The sequence below is a fragment of the Homo sapiens genome, chromosome 10 (assembly GCF_000001405.40).
Source record: "Homo sapiens chromosome 10, GRCh38.p14 Primary Assembly".
NCBI lineage: Eukaryota > Metazoa > Chordata > Mammalia > Primates > Hominidae > Homo > Homo sapiens.
In genome coordinates, this window is record NC_000010.11 from 66,153,634 (window position 1) to 66,170,787 (window position 17,154).

At 36.7% G+C, this 17,154-nt stretch overlaps 1 protein-coding gene across 8 annotated transcripts in view, besides 1 other annotated feature; it reads right to left on the reverse strand.

Moving 5' to 3' along the window:
- CTNNA3 (catenin alpha 3) overlaps positions 1 to 17,154 on the reverse strand; it is a 1,851,072-nt gene that overhangs the window by 241,111 nt on the left and 1,592,807 nt on the right. The gene's annotated exons all lie outside the window — the stretch shown is intronic.
- Positions 12,899 to 13,068: an enhancer, noted in NCBI's record as "experimental_15277 CRE fragment used in MPRA reporter constructs". NCBI's record gives its function as "activates a minimal promoter by MPRAs in K562 erythroleukemia cells, with activity observed for both the introgressed and non-introgressed 10:67926375 variant alleles {active_cell/tissue: K562}" and the evidence as "EXISTENCE:reporter gene assay evidence [ECO:0000049][PMID:34662402]".

The window sequence follows — 17,154 nt, forward strand, 5'->3', positions numbered from 1 at the left end:
TCCACCTTACTTTCTAGTACCTGCAGTTATCCCAGGCTCATTCCTGGATGCCAAGAGGATAGATTCTCTACCACAGTGTTAGTTATTTGCAGTCCACTGCACCTGCAGACTGTCCTTACACTAAGACTAAAAAATGAAAACGTATCCTATGCTGGTCCTGTCTTCCAAGTTTTGTATCATCTCCAAATCTGCCTCTGATACTTAATAATTTGTTTACACACACACACACACACACACACACACACATACCTATATAATATAAATTATACATAATAAGTTTTTTTGTTTATAGTTGTGATCTGTTGGCGGGCTGGACCATTTGAAACTTACTCCTTACTCTATCATACCAGAAATGGAACTTTTAGTAATTAATCTGAAGGGCTGCAATCTCTATCATCACTCATAAGGTCAAGATTAAACCCATACCTTTAAACACAGCTCAAAATATTCAGCAAATAAATAAGGCAGTCACTACTGATGGTAGTAATTATTGTCCAAGACTTGTATTTTTTGGAGATATTTCTTATCCCCAAACATATCCAGCTTCAATTGGTTTATTTCTGGTACTTAATCCTTGGTTCTACTCTTTTATTTATAATCCAGCAAATCCTCTTTGGACTTATATTTTAAATTACTCCTGACTCTCAGGTCTCCTTATCAAGGATATTAGTCTACTGTAGACTTAAACAATCAGCTCTTTTAACATTGAGCAACTAGAGTAAAATATACCTACTACCCACCCTCTCCCATACTACGACAGGTCTTTTGGAATCTTACTTATATAGCACATTCACAAAAGACAGCCTACAAATATATCTTCTGCTGCAAAGGATGTTTGTTTTAGTGGGTCTTAAAAATATCTTGATATTCATTTTCAAGGGTGGATTTTTACATTAGCTGTGGCTCTTACTTGCAAGCTACTGTTAATGGCAACATTTTCCCATTTGCCGAAAACTACTCACAATGACAGTGGCTTCCACCAACAATTTTCGTCAAAGGCAAGTGATAGTATATTTCGTTTTTAGAAACTCCCTGTAGTAGTTTCTGGCAATCATCTTTTTCTCTCTCTACTTTTTGAAAAAGTTCATATATATATATATATATATATTTCCCTTGAACAATTTATATGAAGCTCAATATTAGGAAAATGTCCTATTAATTTTTTAACACTCACTAGAAAGCAATATAACAAGATGACCTGTTTAAGCCCCTAGTACAGCTGTGGTAACCAAACAGTTCTTTTAGAGGAATATGTGCACATTCTCTAGAGTTGTTTGACAAAGAGTTGACAAACATTTTCTATAAACAGCCAGACAGTAAATATTTTGGGCTTTGTGAGGCATACAATATTTTCCACAACAACTCAACTTTACCATTGTAGCACAAAATTAGCCATTAAAACTTTATTTACAAAAATAGGTGGCAGGCAATTTGGCCTGCGGGCTGTAGTTTTTCAATCTTTGCTCAAGAGTATAGTGTGAAACAATTCCAATTTGCCATTGAACTTCTCCAGCATTCTTTTATGTGTCCCAAAGCAGACAGAAGTACAGAGACTCATAACTTAGAGAGAACTCTTGCATCTTAAAGGCAACTTAACTCTTGTATCTTAACAGTAACTTCCTAGGTATTGATATGAGAACTCATTATTTCAGTGATTCCATAAGCCAAGTGACTAAGACACTTGGCGAGAGATACAAATTATGGAATTTCTGCTGTCCTACTCAACTGGAAAATCAGTATCTGTGTTATACTTGTGCCACCAAATTAAATAAACTAAACTTCATGTCACATTTTGATTTCAAAAGTGGCACCATTCTATAAAAGTTATATCTTAATCAGGAAATAATAAAAGAAATACCTGTGGCTAAAAATGGCAAACTGATCAATGGAAAAAAGTCCAGAAACAAACCCACACACGTTCCTGATCTACAGCAACAACAATAATATGAAGCTTTGGTGCTGTGGGGAGCGGAGGACCATCTTAATACATTGCACTAGGTCAAGTGGATATATGTATGAGAAAAACATCATCTAGATTCTCATCTCACACCATACACAAAAGTTAATGTCATAAAAATGTGTTATATAAAAGTAAAATATAAAACAATAAAGCTTTTAGAAGCAAACATTAGAGAACAATTCCATATTCTTAGGGCAAATAAAAAGTTGATACATTGAACTATATAAAAGCCAAGAACTTCTGTTTTTTAAAAGACATTGTTAATAGAGTCAATGAATCCACAGTGTGAGGAGCGTTTCCCAGAATAAAGAAAGAACTCAAAAAAAATCAGTAAGGAAAAGGAAACACAACAGAAAAAATGAACAAAAGATTGAAAAGACACTTTATCAAAGAATATATCCAAATGGCCAAAATAGTATATTTTAAGAAGACTTCAAGTTAATTAGTTATCAAATTAAAGTCATGCTATACCATTACACATCCACCAGAATAGATTACGTATGCTGAAACTCTGAAAGGTAGACAGAAGTTAGACTGGTCAGGCATCTTGGGACCCAAGGAACAGCATGATGGTGAATTACCTGGGTTTTTATTCTCCCTCATATATCCCAGACTTGGAGCTGAAGAAGCTGACCACAGGCCTAAAGAAGCTTGCAACCGACTAAAGAAAGGAAACAGGAGGGATCCTTGTGATGATAGAAATGTTCTATATCTTGACTCTATCAATGTAAATGTCCTGTGATTTTGTTGTGATGTTGGACCACACTTTACAAATACCGCCATCAGGAAAAAACTAGTAAAGGATTTGTGAAGCTTCTATTACTTCTTAAATTCACAGGTGAATATACAGTTAAAATTAGAAAGTTAATTTAAAATATTTATTCAATGCTTTCTGTGTGCCAAGTACAATTATAGATGCTAGGAAATAAGCAGTGAGCAATGCCAACACCATCTCTTCAAGATGTTTGCAATCTAGTTAGGGAAACAGACAATAAACAAACAATAAAAATGTCAAGTGGTGAAAATGAAGGAAAAAAAAACAGTAGTGAACATATAGAAAGATAGAGGAGATGATATTTCACATATGGCATTGGGAGTGGTCTTGGCATGGTCAAAGAATAGTAACTAGGCCTTTGTATCCAAAGTGTGGTTAATGAGGTGGAGACTGGTAGGATTTTGAGTTCCAACATAGTGGGAAGCCAGATCATATAGTGCCTTCACTCATAATAAGGCTCAATTTTAATCTAAGTGTGTGAAAGGTGCTGAGGGAGAGGGATCATGTATAATTTTGAATAGGGCATTGCCTTGTTCTGACGTGTTTAAATAAGGTGACTATGGCTGTCTTGTTGAGAACAGACTGATGAGGAGGACGTAACCTATTGATTTTCAGTTTTGTATTTCATTTGCATTTGGGTTTTGGTTTTGTTTTGTTTTGCTTTCCTTATTTCCTTTTTTAAAATTTTTCCATAAGTTATTGGGGTACAAGTGGTATTGGTTACATCAGTAAGTTCTTTAGTGGTGATTTGTGAGACTTTGGTGCACCCATCACCCAAGTAGTATACGCTGCACCTTATTTGTAGTGTTTTATCCCTCGTCCCCCTCCCACTACTCCTCGCAAGTCCCCAAAGTCCATTGTATCATTCTTATGCCTTTGCATCCTCATAGCTTAGTTCTCATATATCAGTGAGAACATTTGATGTTTGGTTTTCCATTCCTGAGTTACTTCACTTAGAATAATAGTCTCCAATTCCATCCAGGTCACTGAAAATGCTGTTAATTCATTCCTTTTTATGGCTGAGTAGTATTCTATCATAGATAGGTAGGTAGGTAGGTAGGTAGATAGATAGATAGATGATAGATAGATAGATAGATAGACAGATGATAGATAGATAGATATGTAGATAGATAGATAGATAGATAGATAGATAGATAGATAGATAGATAGATAATCACACTTTCTTTATCCATTCATTGAGTGATGGGCATTTGTGTTGGTTCCACAATTTTGAAGTTGTGAATTGTGTTGCTATAAACATGCATGTGCAAGTATCTTTTTCGAATAATGATTTCTTTTCCTCTGGGTAGATACCCAGTAGTGAGATTACTAGATCAAATGGAAGTTCTACTTTTAATTCTTTAAGGAATCGCCACACTGTTTTCCATAGTGGCTGCATGAGTTTACATTCCCGCCTGCAGTGTAGAAGTGTTCCCTGATTATCTCATCCATGCCAACATCTACTGTTTTTTTTATTATGGCCATTCTTGCAGGAGTAAGGTGGTATCGCATTGTGGTTTTGATTTGCATTTTCCTGATCATTAGTGATGTTGAGCATTTTTTCATATGTTTGTTGGCCATTTGTATATCTTCTTTTGAGAATTGTCTATTCATGCCCTTAGCCCACTTTTTGGTGGGATTGTTTGCTTTTTCTTACTGATTTGTTTGAGTTCATTCTAGATTCTGTATATTAGTCCTTTGTCAGATGTACAGATTGTGAAGATTTTCTCCCACTCTGTGGGTTGTCTGTTTACTCTACTGATTGTTCCTTTGGCCGTGCAAAAGCTCTTTAGTTTAATTAGGTCCTAGCTATTTATCTTTGTTTTTACTGAATTTGCTTTTGGGCTCTTGGTCATGAAATCTTTGCCCAAGCCAATGTCTAGAAGGGTTTTTCCGATGTTATCTTCTATAATTTTTATAGTTTCAGGTCTTAGGTGTGCATCTTGAGTTGATTTTTTTATAAGGTAAGAGATGAGGATCCAGTTTCATTCTCCTACATGTGGCTAGCCAATTATCCTAGTACCATTTGTTGAAAAGGGTGTCCTTTCCCCACTTTATGTTTTTGTTTGTTTTGTCAAAGATCAGTTGGCTGTATTTGGGTTTATTTCTGGGTTCTCTATTCTGTTCCATTGGCCTATGTGCCTATTTTTGTACTAGTACCATGCTGTTTTGGTGACTATGGCCTTATAGGATAGTTTGAAGTCAGGTAATGTGAAGCCTCCAGATTTGTTCTTTTTGCTTAGTCTTGCTTTGGCTATGCAGGCTCTTTTTTGGTTCCATATGAATTTTAGAATTGTTTTTTCTAATTCTGTGAAGAATGATGGTGGTAATTTAATGGAAATTGCATTGAATTTGTAGATTGTTTTGGCAGTATGGTCATTTTCACAATATTGATTCTACCCATTCATGAGCATAGGACATGTTTCCATTTCTTTGTGTTGTCTATGATTTCTTTCAGCAGTGTTTTGTAGTTTTCCTTGTAGAGGCCTTTTGACTCCTTGGTTAGGTATATTCCTAAATATTTTATTTTTATTTTTATTTTTTTGCAGCTACTGTAAAAGGGGTTGAGTTCTTGATTTGATGCTCTGCTTGGTCGCTGTTGTTGTATAGAAGAGCTACTGATTTGTGTACATTAATCTTGTATCTGGAAACTTTGCTGAATTCTTGTATCAGTTCTAGGAGATTTCTGGAGGAGTCTTTAGGGTTTTCAAGGTAAATGATCATGTCATCAGCAAACAGTGACAGTTTGACTTCCTCTTTACCAATTTGGATGCCATTTATTTCTTTCTCTTGTCTGATTGCTTGGCTAGGACTTCCAGTACTATGTTGCAGAGTAGTGGTGAGAGTGGGCACGCTTGTGTTGTTCCAGGTCTCAGAGGGAATTCTTTCAACTTTTCCCCATTCAGTATAATGTTGGCTGTGAGTTTGTCATAGATGGCTTTTATTACATTAAGGTATGACCCTTGTATGCCAATTTTGCTTTGAGTTTTAATCATAAAGCGATGCTAGATTTTGTCAGGTGCTTTTTCTGCATCTATTGAGATAATCATGTGATTTTTATTTTTGATTCTGTTTATGTGGTATATCACATTTATTGACTTGCATATGTTACCATCCCTGCATCCCTGGTATGAAACCCACTTGATCATGGTAGATTATCTTTTTGATATGTTGTTGGGTTCGGTTAGCTAGTATTTTGTTAAGGATTTTAGCATCTATGTTCATCAAAGATATTGGTCTTTAGTTTTTTGTTTTCTGTTTTTTTTTTTTTTTTTGGTTATGTTCTTTCCTGGTTTTGGTATTAGCATGATGCTGGCTTCATAGAATGAATTAGGGAGGATTCCTTCTTTCTCTGTCTTGTGAATTAGTGTCAAAGGGATTGGTACCAATTCTTCTTAGAATGTCTGGTAGAATTCTGCTGTGAATCTGTCTAGTCCTGTATTTTATTTTTGTTGGTAATTTTTCAATTACTATTTCAATCTCACTGCTTGTTGTTGGTCTGCTCAGGGTATCTAATTTGTCCTGATTTAACCTAGGAGAGCTGTATTTTTCCATGAATATATTCATCTCTTCTAAGTTTTCTAGTTTATTTACATAAAGATGTTCATAGCAGCCTTGAATGATCTTTTGTATTTCAGTGGTGTCAGTTGTAGTGTCTCCTCTTTCATTTCTCAGTGAGGTTATTTGGATTTTCTGTCTTCTTTTCTTGGTTAATCTTGCTGATGGTTTATCAGTTTTATTTATCTTTTCAAAGGACCCGTTTTTTGTTTTATTTATCTCTTGTATTTTTTGTTTGTTTCAATTTCATTTAGTTCTGCTTGGAACTTCGTTATTTCCTTTCTTCTGCTGGGTTTGGGTTTGATTTGTTCTTGTTTCTCTAGTTCCTTGAGGTGTGACTTTAGAATATCAGTTTGTGCTCTTTCAGTCTTTTTGATGTAGGCGTTTAGGGCTATGAACTTTCCTTTTAGCACCGCCTCTGCTAAAAATTCCAGAGGTTTTGTTAGGTTGTGTCATTATTGTCATTCAGTTCGAATAATTTCTTAATTTCCATTTTGATTTTGTTTTTGACCCAATGCTGATTCAGGAGCAGGTTATTTAATTTCCATATATTTGCATGGCTTTGAAGGTTCCTTTTGGAGTTGATTTCCAGTTTTATTCCACTGTGGCTTGAGAGAGTGCTTGATATAATGTCAATTTTCTTAAATTTATTGAGGCTCATTTTATGGCCTATTATATGGTCTATCTTGGAGAAAGTTTCATGCGCTGTTGAATAAAATGTGTATTCTGTGGTTGTGAGATGAAATGTTCTATATATATCTGTTAAGTCATTTGTTCCAAGGTATAGTTTTAATTCATTGTTTCTTTGTTGATTTTCTGTCTTGATGACCTGTCTAGTGCTGTCAGTGGAGTACTAAAGTCCCCCACTATTACTGTGTTCTGTCTATCTCATTTCTTAGGTCTATGAGTAATTGTTTTATAAATTTGGGAGCTCCAATGTTAGGTGCATATATGTTTAGGATTGTGATATTTTTCTGTTGGACAAGGCCTTTTACCATTATATAATGTCCCTCTTTGTCTCTTTTAACTGCTGTTGTTTTAAAGTTTGTTTTGTGTGATATAAGAATAGTTACCCTGGCTTGCTTTTGATGTCCATTTGCATGAAATGCCTTTTCCCACACCTTTTCTTTAGGTTTATGTGAGTCCTTATGTGTAAGGTGAGTCTCCTGAAGGCCCCAGATGGCTGGTGAGTCCTCATGCATTCTGCAGTTCTGTATTTTTTAAGTGGAGCATTTAGGCCATTTACATTCAAATGTTAGTATTGAAATGTGAGGTACCTTTGCATTCATCATGCTTTTTGTTACTTGTGTACTTTGGATTTTTGGTTTTGCTTTTGTTATTTACTTGTGTTTTTGTTTTATAGGTCCTGTGTGATTTATGGTTTAAAGAGGTTCTGTTTTGATATGTTTCCAGCATTTGTTTCAAGACTTAGAGCTCCTTTTAGCCATTCTTATAGTGGTGGCTAGGTAATGGCAAATTCTCTCAGCATTTGTTTTTCTGAAAATGACTGTATCTTTCCTTCATGTATGATGCTTAGTTTCGCTGGATACAAAATTCTTGGCTGATAATTGTTTTGTTCAAGAAGGCTGAAGATAGGGCCCCAATCCTTTCTAGCTTGTAGGGTTTCTGCTGAAAAATCTGCTGCTAATCTGATAGGTTTTCCTTTATAGGTTATCTGGTGCTTCTGTCTCACAGCTCTTAAGAGTCTTTCTTTCATCTTAACTTTGTATAGCCTGATGACAATGTGCCTAGGCAATGATCTTTTTACGATGAATTTCTCAGGTGTTCTTTGTGCTTCTTGTATTTGGATGTCTAGGTCTCTAGCAACACAGGGGAAGTTTTCCTCAATTATTCCCCCAAATATGTTTTCCGAATTTTTGGAATTCTCTTCTTCCTCAGGAACACTGATTATTCTTAGGTTTGGTCGTTTAACATAATCCCAGACTTCTTGGAGGCTGTGTTCATATTTTTTTATTCTATTTTCTTTGTCTTTGATGGATTGGGTTAATTCAAAGACCTTGTCTTTCAGCTCTGAATTTCTTTATTCTACTTGTTCAATTCTATTGATGAGACTTTACAGAGCATTCTGCATTTCCGAAAGTGTGTCTAAAGTTTCCTGAATTTTTTATTTTTTTTTTCTTTAAGCTATCTATTTTCTTGAATATTTCTCCCTTCACTTCTTGTATCTTGTTTTGGATATCCTTGCATTGGGCTTTGCCTTTCTCTGGTGCCTCCCTGATTCATTTAATAACTAACCTCCTGAATTCTTTTTCAAGTAAATCAAGGATTTCTTCTTGGTTTGGATCCATGGCTGGTGAACTATTGTGATTTTTTGAGGGGATGTTGAAGAGCCTTGTTTTGTCATATTACCAGGGTTGCTTTTCTGGGTCTTTTTCGTCTGGGTAGGCTCTGTCAGGGGGAGGGTCTAGGGCTGAAGGCTATTGACCAGATTCTTTTGTCCCAAGGAATGTTCCTTTGATGTAGTTATTCTCCCCCTTTTCCTATGGTTGTGGCTTCCTGTGAGCCAAACTGCACTGACTGTTGTCTCCCTTCTGGGTCTAGCCACCCAGCGAGTCTACCCGGCTACAGGCTGGTACTGCAGGTTGTCTGTACAGAGTCCTGTGATGTGAACTGCCTATGGTTCTCTCAGCCGTGGATACCAGCACCTCTTCCAGTGGAGGTGCTGGGTCGGGGGGTGCTATGGACTCCATGAGGGTTCTTAGCTTTGGTCATTTAATGCTTTATTTTTGTGCTGGTTGGCCTCCTGCTGGGAGGTGGCCATTTCCAGAGAGCATCAGGTATAGTAGTATGGAGAGGGACTGACAGTGGTGGGGCTCTAGAACTCCCAAGGTTATATGCCCTTTGTCTTCCACTACTAGGGTGAGTAGGGAAGGACCATCAGGTGGGGGCAGGGCTAGGCATGTCTGAGCTCATACTCTCCTTGGGCGGGTCTTGCTGCAGCTGCTGTGGGGGGTGGGGGTAAGATTCCCAGGTCACTGGAGTTGTGTACCTAGGAGGATTACGGCTGCCTCTGTTGAGTCATGCAGGTTGTCAGGGAAGTGAGGGAAAGCTGGCAGTCACAGACCTCACCCAGCTCCCACATAAACTGAAGGGCTGGTCTCACTCCCATGGTACCCCTGCAACAGCCCCAAGTCTGTTTCCAGGTGAAGGGCGAGATGGGCTTGAAAACTTGCCCCAGGCTACCTGCCTTTCAGCTATGAAAGAAAAGGGCTTGGTTATTCCCCCTCCTGTGGAGTCTGCACACAGGATTTGCACCCTCTCCCCATTTCTGGCCAGGAGGCTTCTCACCCTGTTCAAATTTTTACAAAGTTCCGTTAGTGATTTCCTCCTCCCTGTGGAGTTTTACCCCCTGCTCCTCTGGCCACCCTCCCAATGGATCTCTGTGGTGCCAGGAAGGAATAGGCTGCTAGGGGACCCAGTGAGCTCCCAGGGCCTTTCTGCTGCTTTCTCTACCCCTGTATTTCTCTTGGTTCTCTAAATTGACTCATCTCCAGGTAAAGTCAGAAATTTCTCCTGCAAACAGACCTTCAGGTTCTCCAGTGGGGGTGCGTGTTTGAGAGAGGAGGGTCTCCCTTTCCCACTTCTTCAGTTAGGACACTCACAGTATTTGCAGTGTCTCCCACGTTTTGCAGGAGCAGTCTGCTTCCTTCAGAGGGTCTCTGGGTCCTCTTGGGATTGCTGGTTTGTTCTTGCAGTTGATTTCACTTCTTACTTCTGGGTTTCAGTTATATTATTATATATAAGCTATATGCACAAGGAGATTATATTTTTTGGCAGTGATGCTTAAAAACTTGGATTCCAGACCCAGACTGACAATCACTAGCTGCATGACCATGTTCAAGTTATTTAGCCTCTTTCATCTTCAATGTTTTCATATGATCTATGGTGCAATAATAGCACTCAAGTCAGAAGGCTTTTATTGGGATTAAATGTGTTATATGTGTAAAGATCTTCAAATAGCTTGAGACATGGTAAGTACCATGGAAGTGTTTGCTATGTCATTTTTGTGTTGGTACATATTTGAGTAACATTGTAATGAAAACAATTAAAAGCAACATGGGAGAAAGCATAAAAATTATTTTCCTTAAGAGGGTTCATACTCTAGTGACTTTGAAAAACTGTTTGAGAGCGTGCTAATGTCATATAGCTCAGATGCTTACTATTTACACATCAGTAATTATTGTAGGGGCAGGGAAGGCACTATAAAATTTGTCTGTAACCAAAAATTAAATATTTTTTTCTAACTTGCAGGCCAATCACATTTTATTTTAATTTTAAAATTAAAAACCCAAATATGATGTATATAGTAAATACCATCAAGATACCTATTAATGAGAACTATTATTTTCTAATTTCTTGAGTGGAAGTTATTGTAGTAGATATATTCTGCTTTTTGTCCTGCATTTGTACATTTGGGCAACTTCTCTTCTCTCTGTATTGCACTATTGGGAATATAGGTCATAGATTGCCAAAGTGTCCTGTTCTCCTGGCCACAATCATTGATTCAGGAATAGGAAGGTATCCAAGAACAGCTAACCAGTTTCCACATGGAATTGGACATATGGACACTGTTTTTTTTTTTTTTAGATGTTTCCCTCTTCCCCTCAGACACATAGCAATAAGAGCCAAATTAACAACACAGAGTCTGTCTGAGAATTAAGTTAAATAATCCCAACGTGAACTAGAAAAAGAAAGAAAATCTCTGTAAATGTTATTTAATTATAGAACAATTGACACAATACATAAAAATATGGTTGTGTTCTATGTGAAATTTGTCTTTATTCTAGAATAGTGATTTTAAACATGAGAGATTCTTACCTAATAATATCAATTGATCAAATTTGTGATACTAAAACATAAATCAGTATTCATCCTTCCAACACTGGTTCTATTTACATGAAATTGTATCATTTTAGAGGGGAACAAATGTGATTTGCCGTTTTTTAAATGAATCTTCTGTAGGTCACATTATATTTGGGAGTAGTTTCTAATTATTATTCAAAAAAAGAAAGAAAGGAAAAAGGGAAAATTTCTGTTCCTATCTGACACTTGGCATATTAGTCAAGATCAAATACAGAATACAATACCCTAAATGAAAATAATATGTGCTATATACACCATGGAGTACTATGAATCCATAAAAAAGAATAACGTCGTGTACTTTGCAGCAACATGGATGCAACTGGAGGCTGCTATCCTAAGTGAATTAAGGCAGGAACAGAAAACCAAATATCACATGTTGTCACTTAAAAGTGAGAGCTAAATAATAGGTTTCATACAGCTAAAGAATGGGGACCCTATAGCTCATATGCCATATATAAAGATGGCAACAGTAGACACTGGGGACCACTAGAGTGAAGGGGGTGGAGGAAGAGAGGGGAACAAGGAATGAAAAACTAATTATTGGGCACCATACTCACTACCTGGGTGAAGGGATCAATCATACATCAATTTTACTCTAAGTAAAATTGCATTATGCAATATACCCAGGTAACAAACCTGCATATGTACCCTCTGAATCCAAAATAAAAGCTGAAATTATAAAAAACAAAAGAAAATAGTATGTGCTAAATATTTATATGGTGTTGGTTAGTCATCATTTCTAAAAACCCAATGAGTCCTAATGCCAGTCTTCTCAAAAGCTCATATATAGGATAGAGGAAAAATGGTGAAATATATAGTATTTATTTACAAAGAGAAGGCACTATAGATGTTCATTTACTTCACTGTAGTGAAGTATTATTACCATCTTATTATATATGTGCATGTGTCATCATTTTGTATACCTTCAATATACACAATACAATTTATTTATTTATTTTATTATTATTATTATTTTGAGATGGAGTCTTGCTCTGTCTCCCAGGCTGGAGCGCAGTGGTGCAATCTTGGCTCACTGCAACCTTTGCCTCCCAGGTTCAAGCAATTCTCTGCCTCAGCCTCCCAAGTAGCTGGGATTACAGGCACCTGCCACCACACCTGGCTAATTTTTGTATTTTCAGTAGAGATGGGGTTTCACCATCTTAGCCACCTTGGTCTTGAACTCCTGACCTTGTGATCCATCCTCTTCGGCCTCCCAAAGTGCTGGGATTACAGGTGTGAGCCACCGCACCCAGCCATAAAATTTATTTTCAAAAATGCTTTCACAGAAATTATCTCATTTGAACCTCAAACAAAACCTTCAAGAAGGTAACTGCATTATTTTTTAAGAAAAAAGTTTCACAGAGGCCAAGTGTGATAGCTCACACCTATAATCCCAGCACTTTGGGAGGCTGAGGTGGCCGGATCACCTGAGATCAGGAGTCCAAGAGATCAGGAGTTCAAGACCAGCCTGGCCAACATGGTGAAACCTGTCTCTACTAATGGTGAAACCGGTGTCTACTAAAAATACAAAAACTTAGCAAGGCATAGTGATGGGCACCTATAATCCCAGCTACCTGGGAGGCTGAAGCATGAGAATTGCTTGAACCCAGGAGGCAGAGTTTGAACCGAGCTGAGATCGCACCACTGCACTGCACTCCATCCTGGGGGACAGAGTGACAGTCTGTCTCAAAAAAAAAAAAAAAAAAAAGAAGAAGTTTCAGAAAGATTAAGTAGCTTATCTATGGTTAAAAACAAAAAGCAAAAAACTGGTAACTCACAGAGGTAGAATCTAGTCTCAGTTCAGCTGTTTCCAAATCTCTATGTGGTACATAACATATTTTCGAAGTTTGCATCTCATGTGACAATGTGGGAGGCATAATCAAAACATGGAAACATGAAACAACTAGAGAAGTAATCACATAATTAACTATTATAACAGCAAAAAAAATTAAAATAGGATTAAATTGAAGGGGTGAATGAAGGTTAGTGTGATCAGTTAGTATGATGGCAGAAAAAGAAAAATATTCAATGTGTCCTAAAGGATACATAAAACAGGAACAGGTGTCGATAGAGTTCATGTAACAGTAAGGGACATTTCAGGAAGCTTGAGTTTGGTGGGAGGAGTGGAGCTTTGGAGATACAATGGGAGGTTGGAGAGGTGTGAAGAAAAAGGTGATGTCACTTTATAAAGGAAACTGGAAAGTAAGGCAGAGCAATTTAGACTTGAAGGAATTTCATTTGCTTCTAAAAACTGAAGTATTGTAACATGCAATATGCCTTTCACAAACAAAATAGTCACATATGCCTCTCAGAAAGAAAAGGTACCATGAAATAAGAGAAAGGGACATAGGACACTGTGCTGTATGTAAAAAAGAGGAGAGATTAAGTGTGATAAAATGTTCTACTTTTAAAGCAGGTAATTCCACCTTTCTGCCAACAATTATTATTTTAAAAGGAGGCAAATAGAAAAAAAATTATATGTTAGATTACTAAAGAATATACTTCAAATCTATAAGAATTGAAGCAGTTAGAAAAACTAAATAGTTTACAAATGTGACAGCAAACGTTAAGTTTCCTGTGAGATTTACAATGTCTTTGTATCTGCCCTAGAGATCACTGGGGCTTAATAGACCACCAAGTACAAATGAATCGTTTTAAAAGATTTTAACGTCTTTTGAAGTTCCTACTTAGAAGTAGGATCTTTAATTGACTAATAATTGTGTTAAATCAAAATCATGGAAAATAAGAATGTTTATAATATTATTTTACTTTAATTTTTGGCAAGGTAGAAAGTTATTTAAAGAGACATCAAAAACAAGTTGATCTACTTTATTACTTTGTTAATCTATGTCCTCTGAGAAGCAGACATCTCATGGGATTAAAATCAGGAGGAAGCTGGAAAAGGCTAAGAGAACAGTCAGATCATGATGAAATTATTAACCTGAGTGAAGGAGAGAAGAAAGGATGATTGGGTACAAACTTCCTAGACTGCTGTGCAGTTTGAGGAAAATGAAGTGAAGTTACTGAGGAGTCCCAAGGCACAGGTAGCCACCAGAGGCATCAAGTGTGTCCAGAAATTGGCCTGCCTTAATATCCCAGATACACCTAGTCATCGGCTAAGCACAGCCCATGGGAAATGTAGACATAGCCTCAGCATAGATGCAATCATGGGTTTCAGAGCATGACAGCTGGAGCTCTTGGCCAATTGCCCTCCTTGTGGTTGGAGATCTAAGAGGTGCATTCCTATGGGTGCCAGAGTCACTTTGCTTAAGGCTGGACATGATCTCATGCAACATTAAAAAGAGCTTTTGGCATTTTATTTTTGATGAACAATATATAACTGTGAGCTGTCTATTCTACTGGAATTTAATACTTCTATTACTTTGTAGTTCTTATATTGTGTCACAAATGGAAACTCCCCATACCATATTGTGAAGTGACATCCTGAAAGATAATGAGAGCCACAGCTATAGGCAGGCAATGCCACCGTTTCTAGTAGGCCACTGAATTATCCGTCCACTCATCTAGTTAAGGTATCCATTTATTATTTTTTTTTAAAAAAATACACATAGTCTGGCCTTTGCCTAACTTTTCAACCTCATCTTTTATATTTCACCTATGGCTTACTGTACACTATCGTTCAGTGGTTTTTTTCTGTTCATTGAGCAAGCCAAACTCATTATAACCTCAGAATAGTAATAGCTATACTCTCCTTTGCCCGGAATGTTCTTTTAGATTTTCACATGTTGGACTCTCACACTATTCAGACCTCAGTGCAAGTATTACTACCTCAATGAAGCTTTGGTTGATCAGCTCATCTAAACTAGCACCTTGTCATCCAACAACAGCTATCCAATTACTGGTGCTTTTTTATATTATAGTACTTACTAGTAACTGCAATAATATCATTTTGTTATTCTCCAGTCTTTGTAGATTTGTGTCCCTGGAAAATCATAGAACTAATGCTCTCTACCATATAATCAATATCTAGACTAGCAATTGGCAGCTAAAAGTCAATAAATATTTGTTGAATAATAATTGACAAAAGAAGACTTCTATATTTCAGTTGCTATAATGGGTCTGAGAATTCAAAGATATGATTTCTTCCCTCACTAGAGATTATAGTCCAAATAGAAAGTACAGTCTAATTGCTTAGAAATTACTTTTCCCTCACCTCCTAACAGTCATCTATTCTTTCTTAAGTTGCTCCAGGCATTCCTTCTCATGTACCAATTAATTGTCTATTTTTGTTGTTGTTGTTGTTACATAAATAAGTTCTTTAGTGGTGATTTGTGAGATTTTGGTGCACCCATCACCTGAACAGTACAAATTGAAGCCAATCTGTAGTCTTTTATCCCTCACTCCCTTCCTTCCCTTTACCCCCAAGTCCCCAAAGTCTATTGTATCATTCTTATGCCTTTGCATCCTCAGAGCTTAGGTCCCACTTTTGAGTAAGAACATACAATTCTTGCTTTTCCATTCCTGAATTACTTCACTTAGAATAATAGTCTCCAGTCCCATCCAGGTTGCTCTGAATGCCATTAATTCATTCCTTTTTATGGCTGAGTAGTATTCCATTGTATATAATAGTTTCTTTATCCACTCGTTGGTTGATGGGCATTTGGGCTGGTTCCACATTTTTGCAATTATGAATATTGTAATGCTATAAACATGCGTGTGCAAGTATCTTTTTCATGTAATGGCTTCTTTTCCTCTGGGTAGATACCTACAGTGGGATTGCTGGGATCAAATTGTAGTTCTACTTTTAGTTCTTTAAGGAACCTCCACACTGTTTTCCATAGTGGTTGTACTGTTTACCTTCCCACCAGCAGTGTAGAAGTGTTCCCTTTTCACTGCATCCATGCCAAAATCTATTATTTGTTTATTTTTTGATAATGGCCATTCTTGCAGGAGTAAGATGGTATTGCATTATGGTTTTGATTTGCATTTCCCTGATCATTAGTGATGCTGTGCATTTTTTATATGTTTGTTGGCCATTTGTATATCTTCTTTTAAGAATTTTCTATTCATGTCCTTAGCCCACTTTTTGATGGGATTGTTTGGTTTTTTCTTGCTAATTTGTTTGAGTTCCATAGATTTTGGATATTAGTCCTTTGTCAGATGTATAGATGGTGAAGATTTTCTCCCACTCTGTGGGTTGTTTATTTACTCTGCTGACTATTTCTTTTTCTGTGCAAAAGCCCCTTAGTTTAGTTAAATCCCACTTATTTATCTTCGTTTTTGTTGCATTTGTATTTGGGTTCTTGGTCATGAAATCTTTGCCCAAGCCAATGTCTAGAAGGGTTTTTCTGATGTTATCTTCTACAATTTTTATAGTTTCAGTCTTAGATTTAAGTCCTTGATCCATCCTGAGTTGATTTTTGTATAAGGTGAGAGATGAGAATCCAGTTGCATTCTCCTCCTCATTGTCTTTTTTTTTTTTTTTTTTTTTTTTTAGATGGTAGAATAGCTCTGAACAACAGAGACTTTGGAACAACAGAAATATGGCATTCAAGAAGGCAATTTCTCTAGAACTTTATTTCCACAAATTCATAAATAATAAAACACTAGATTGCATGCTTCTGAAAAATTTGAAGTTTTACATATCAAGATCTTTTAGAATTTTCTTGAATAAAACATTACTACATTTGGTCAACAAATGTCTGCTGATACCAACCATGCACCAAGCAATGTTTTGAAAAAATGGAGATACAATGCAGATCCAAACAGATAAAATCCTTACAGACTTAGTGTTTACTTGGAAAGAGAGATATACACAATAGGCAAAGAAATGAATATCACAAACTGAGATAGGGCTTTGAAGAAAAAAGGCACCAAGTAGGGAAAACTGCATATAAAAGGCTTAGTCTAGTTATATAGATCAGAGAAGATGCTTCAGAGAAAGCAATGTTTACCCAAAAAAAAAAAAAAAAGTTACTGGGTAAAAGTGAAGGGTATGTAGTTAGGAACATATGAA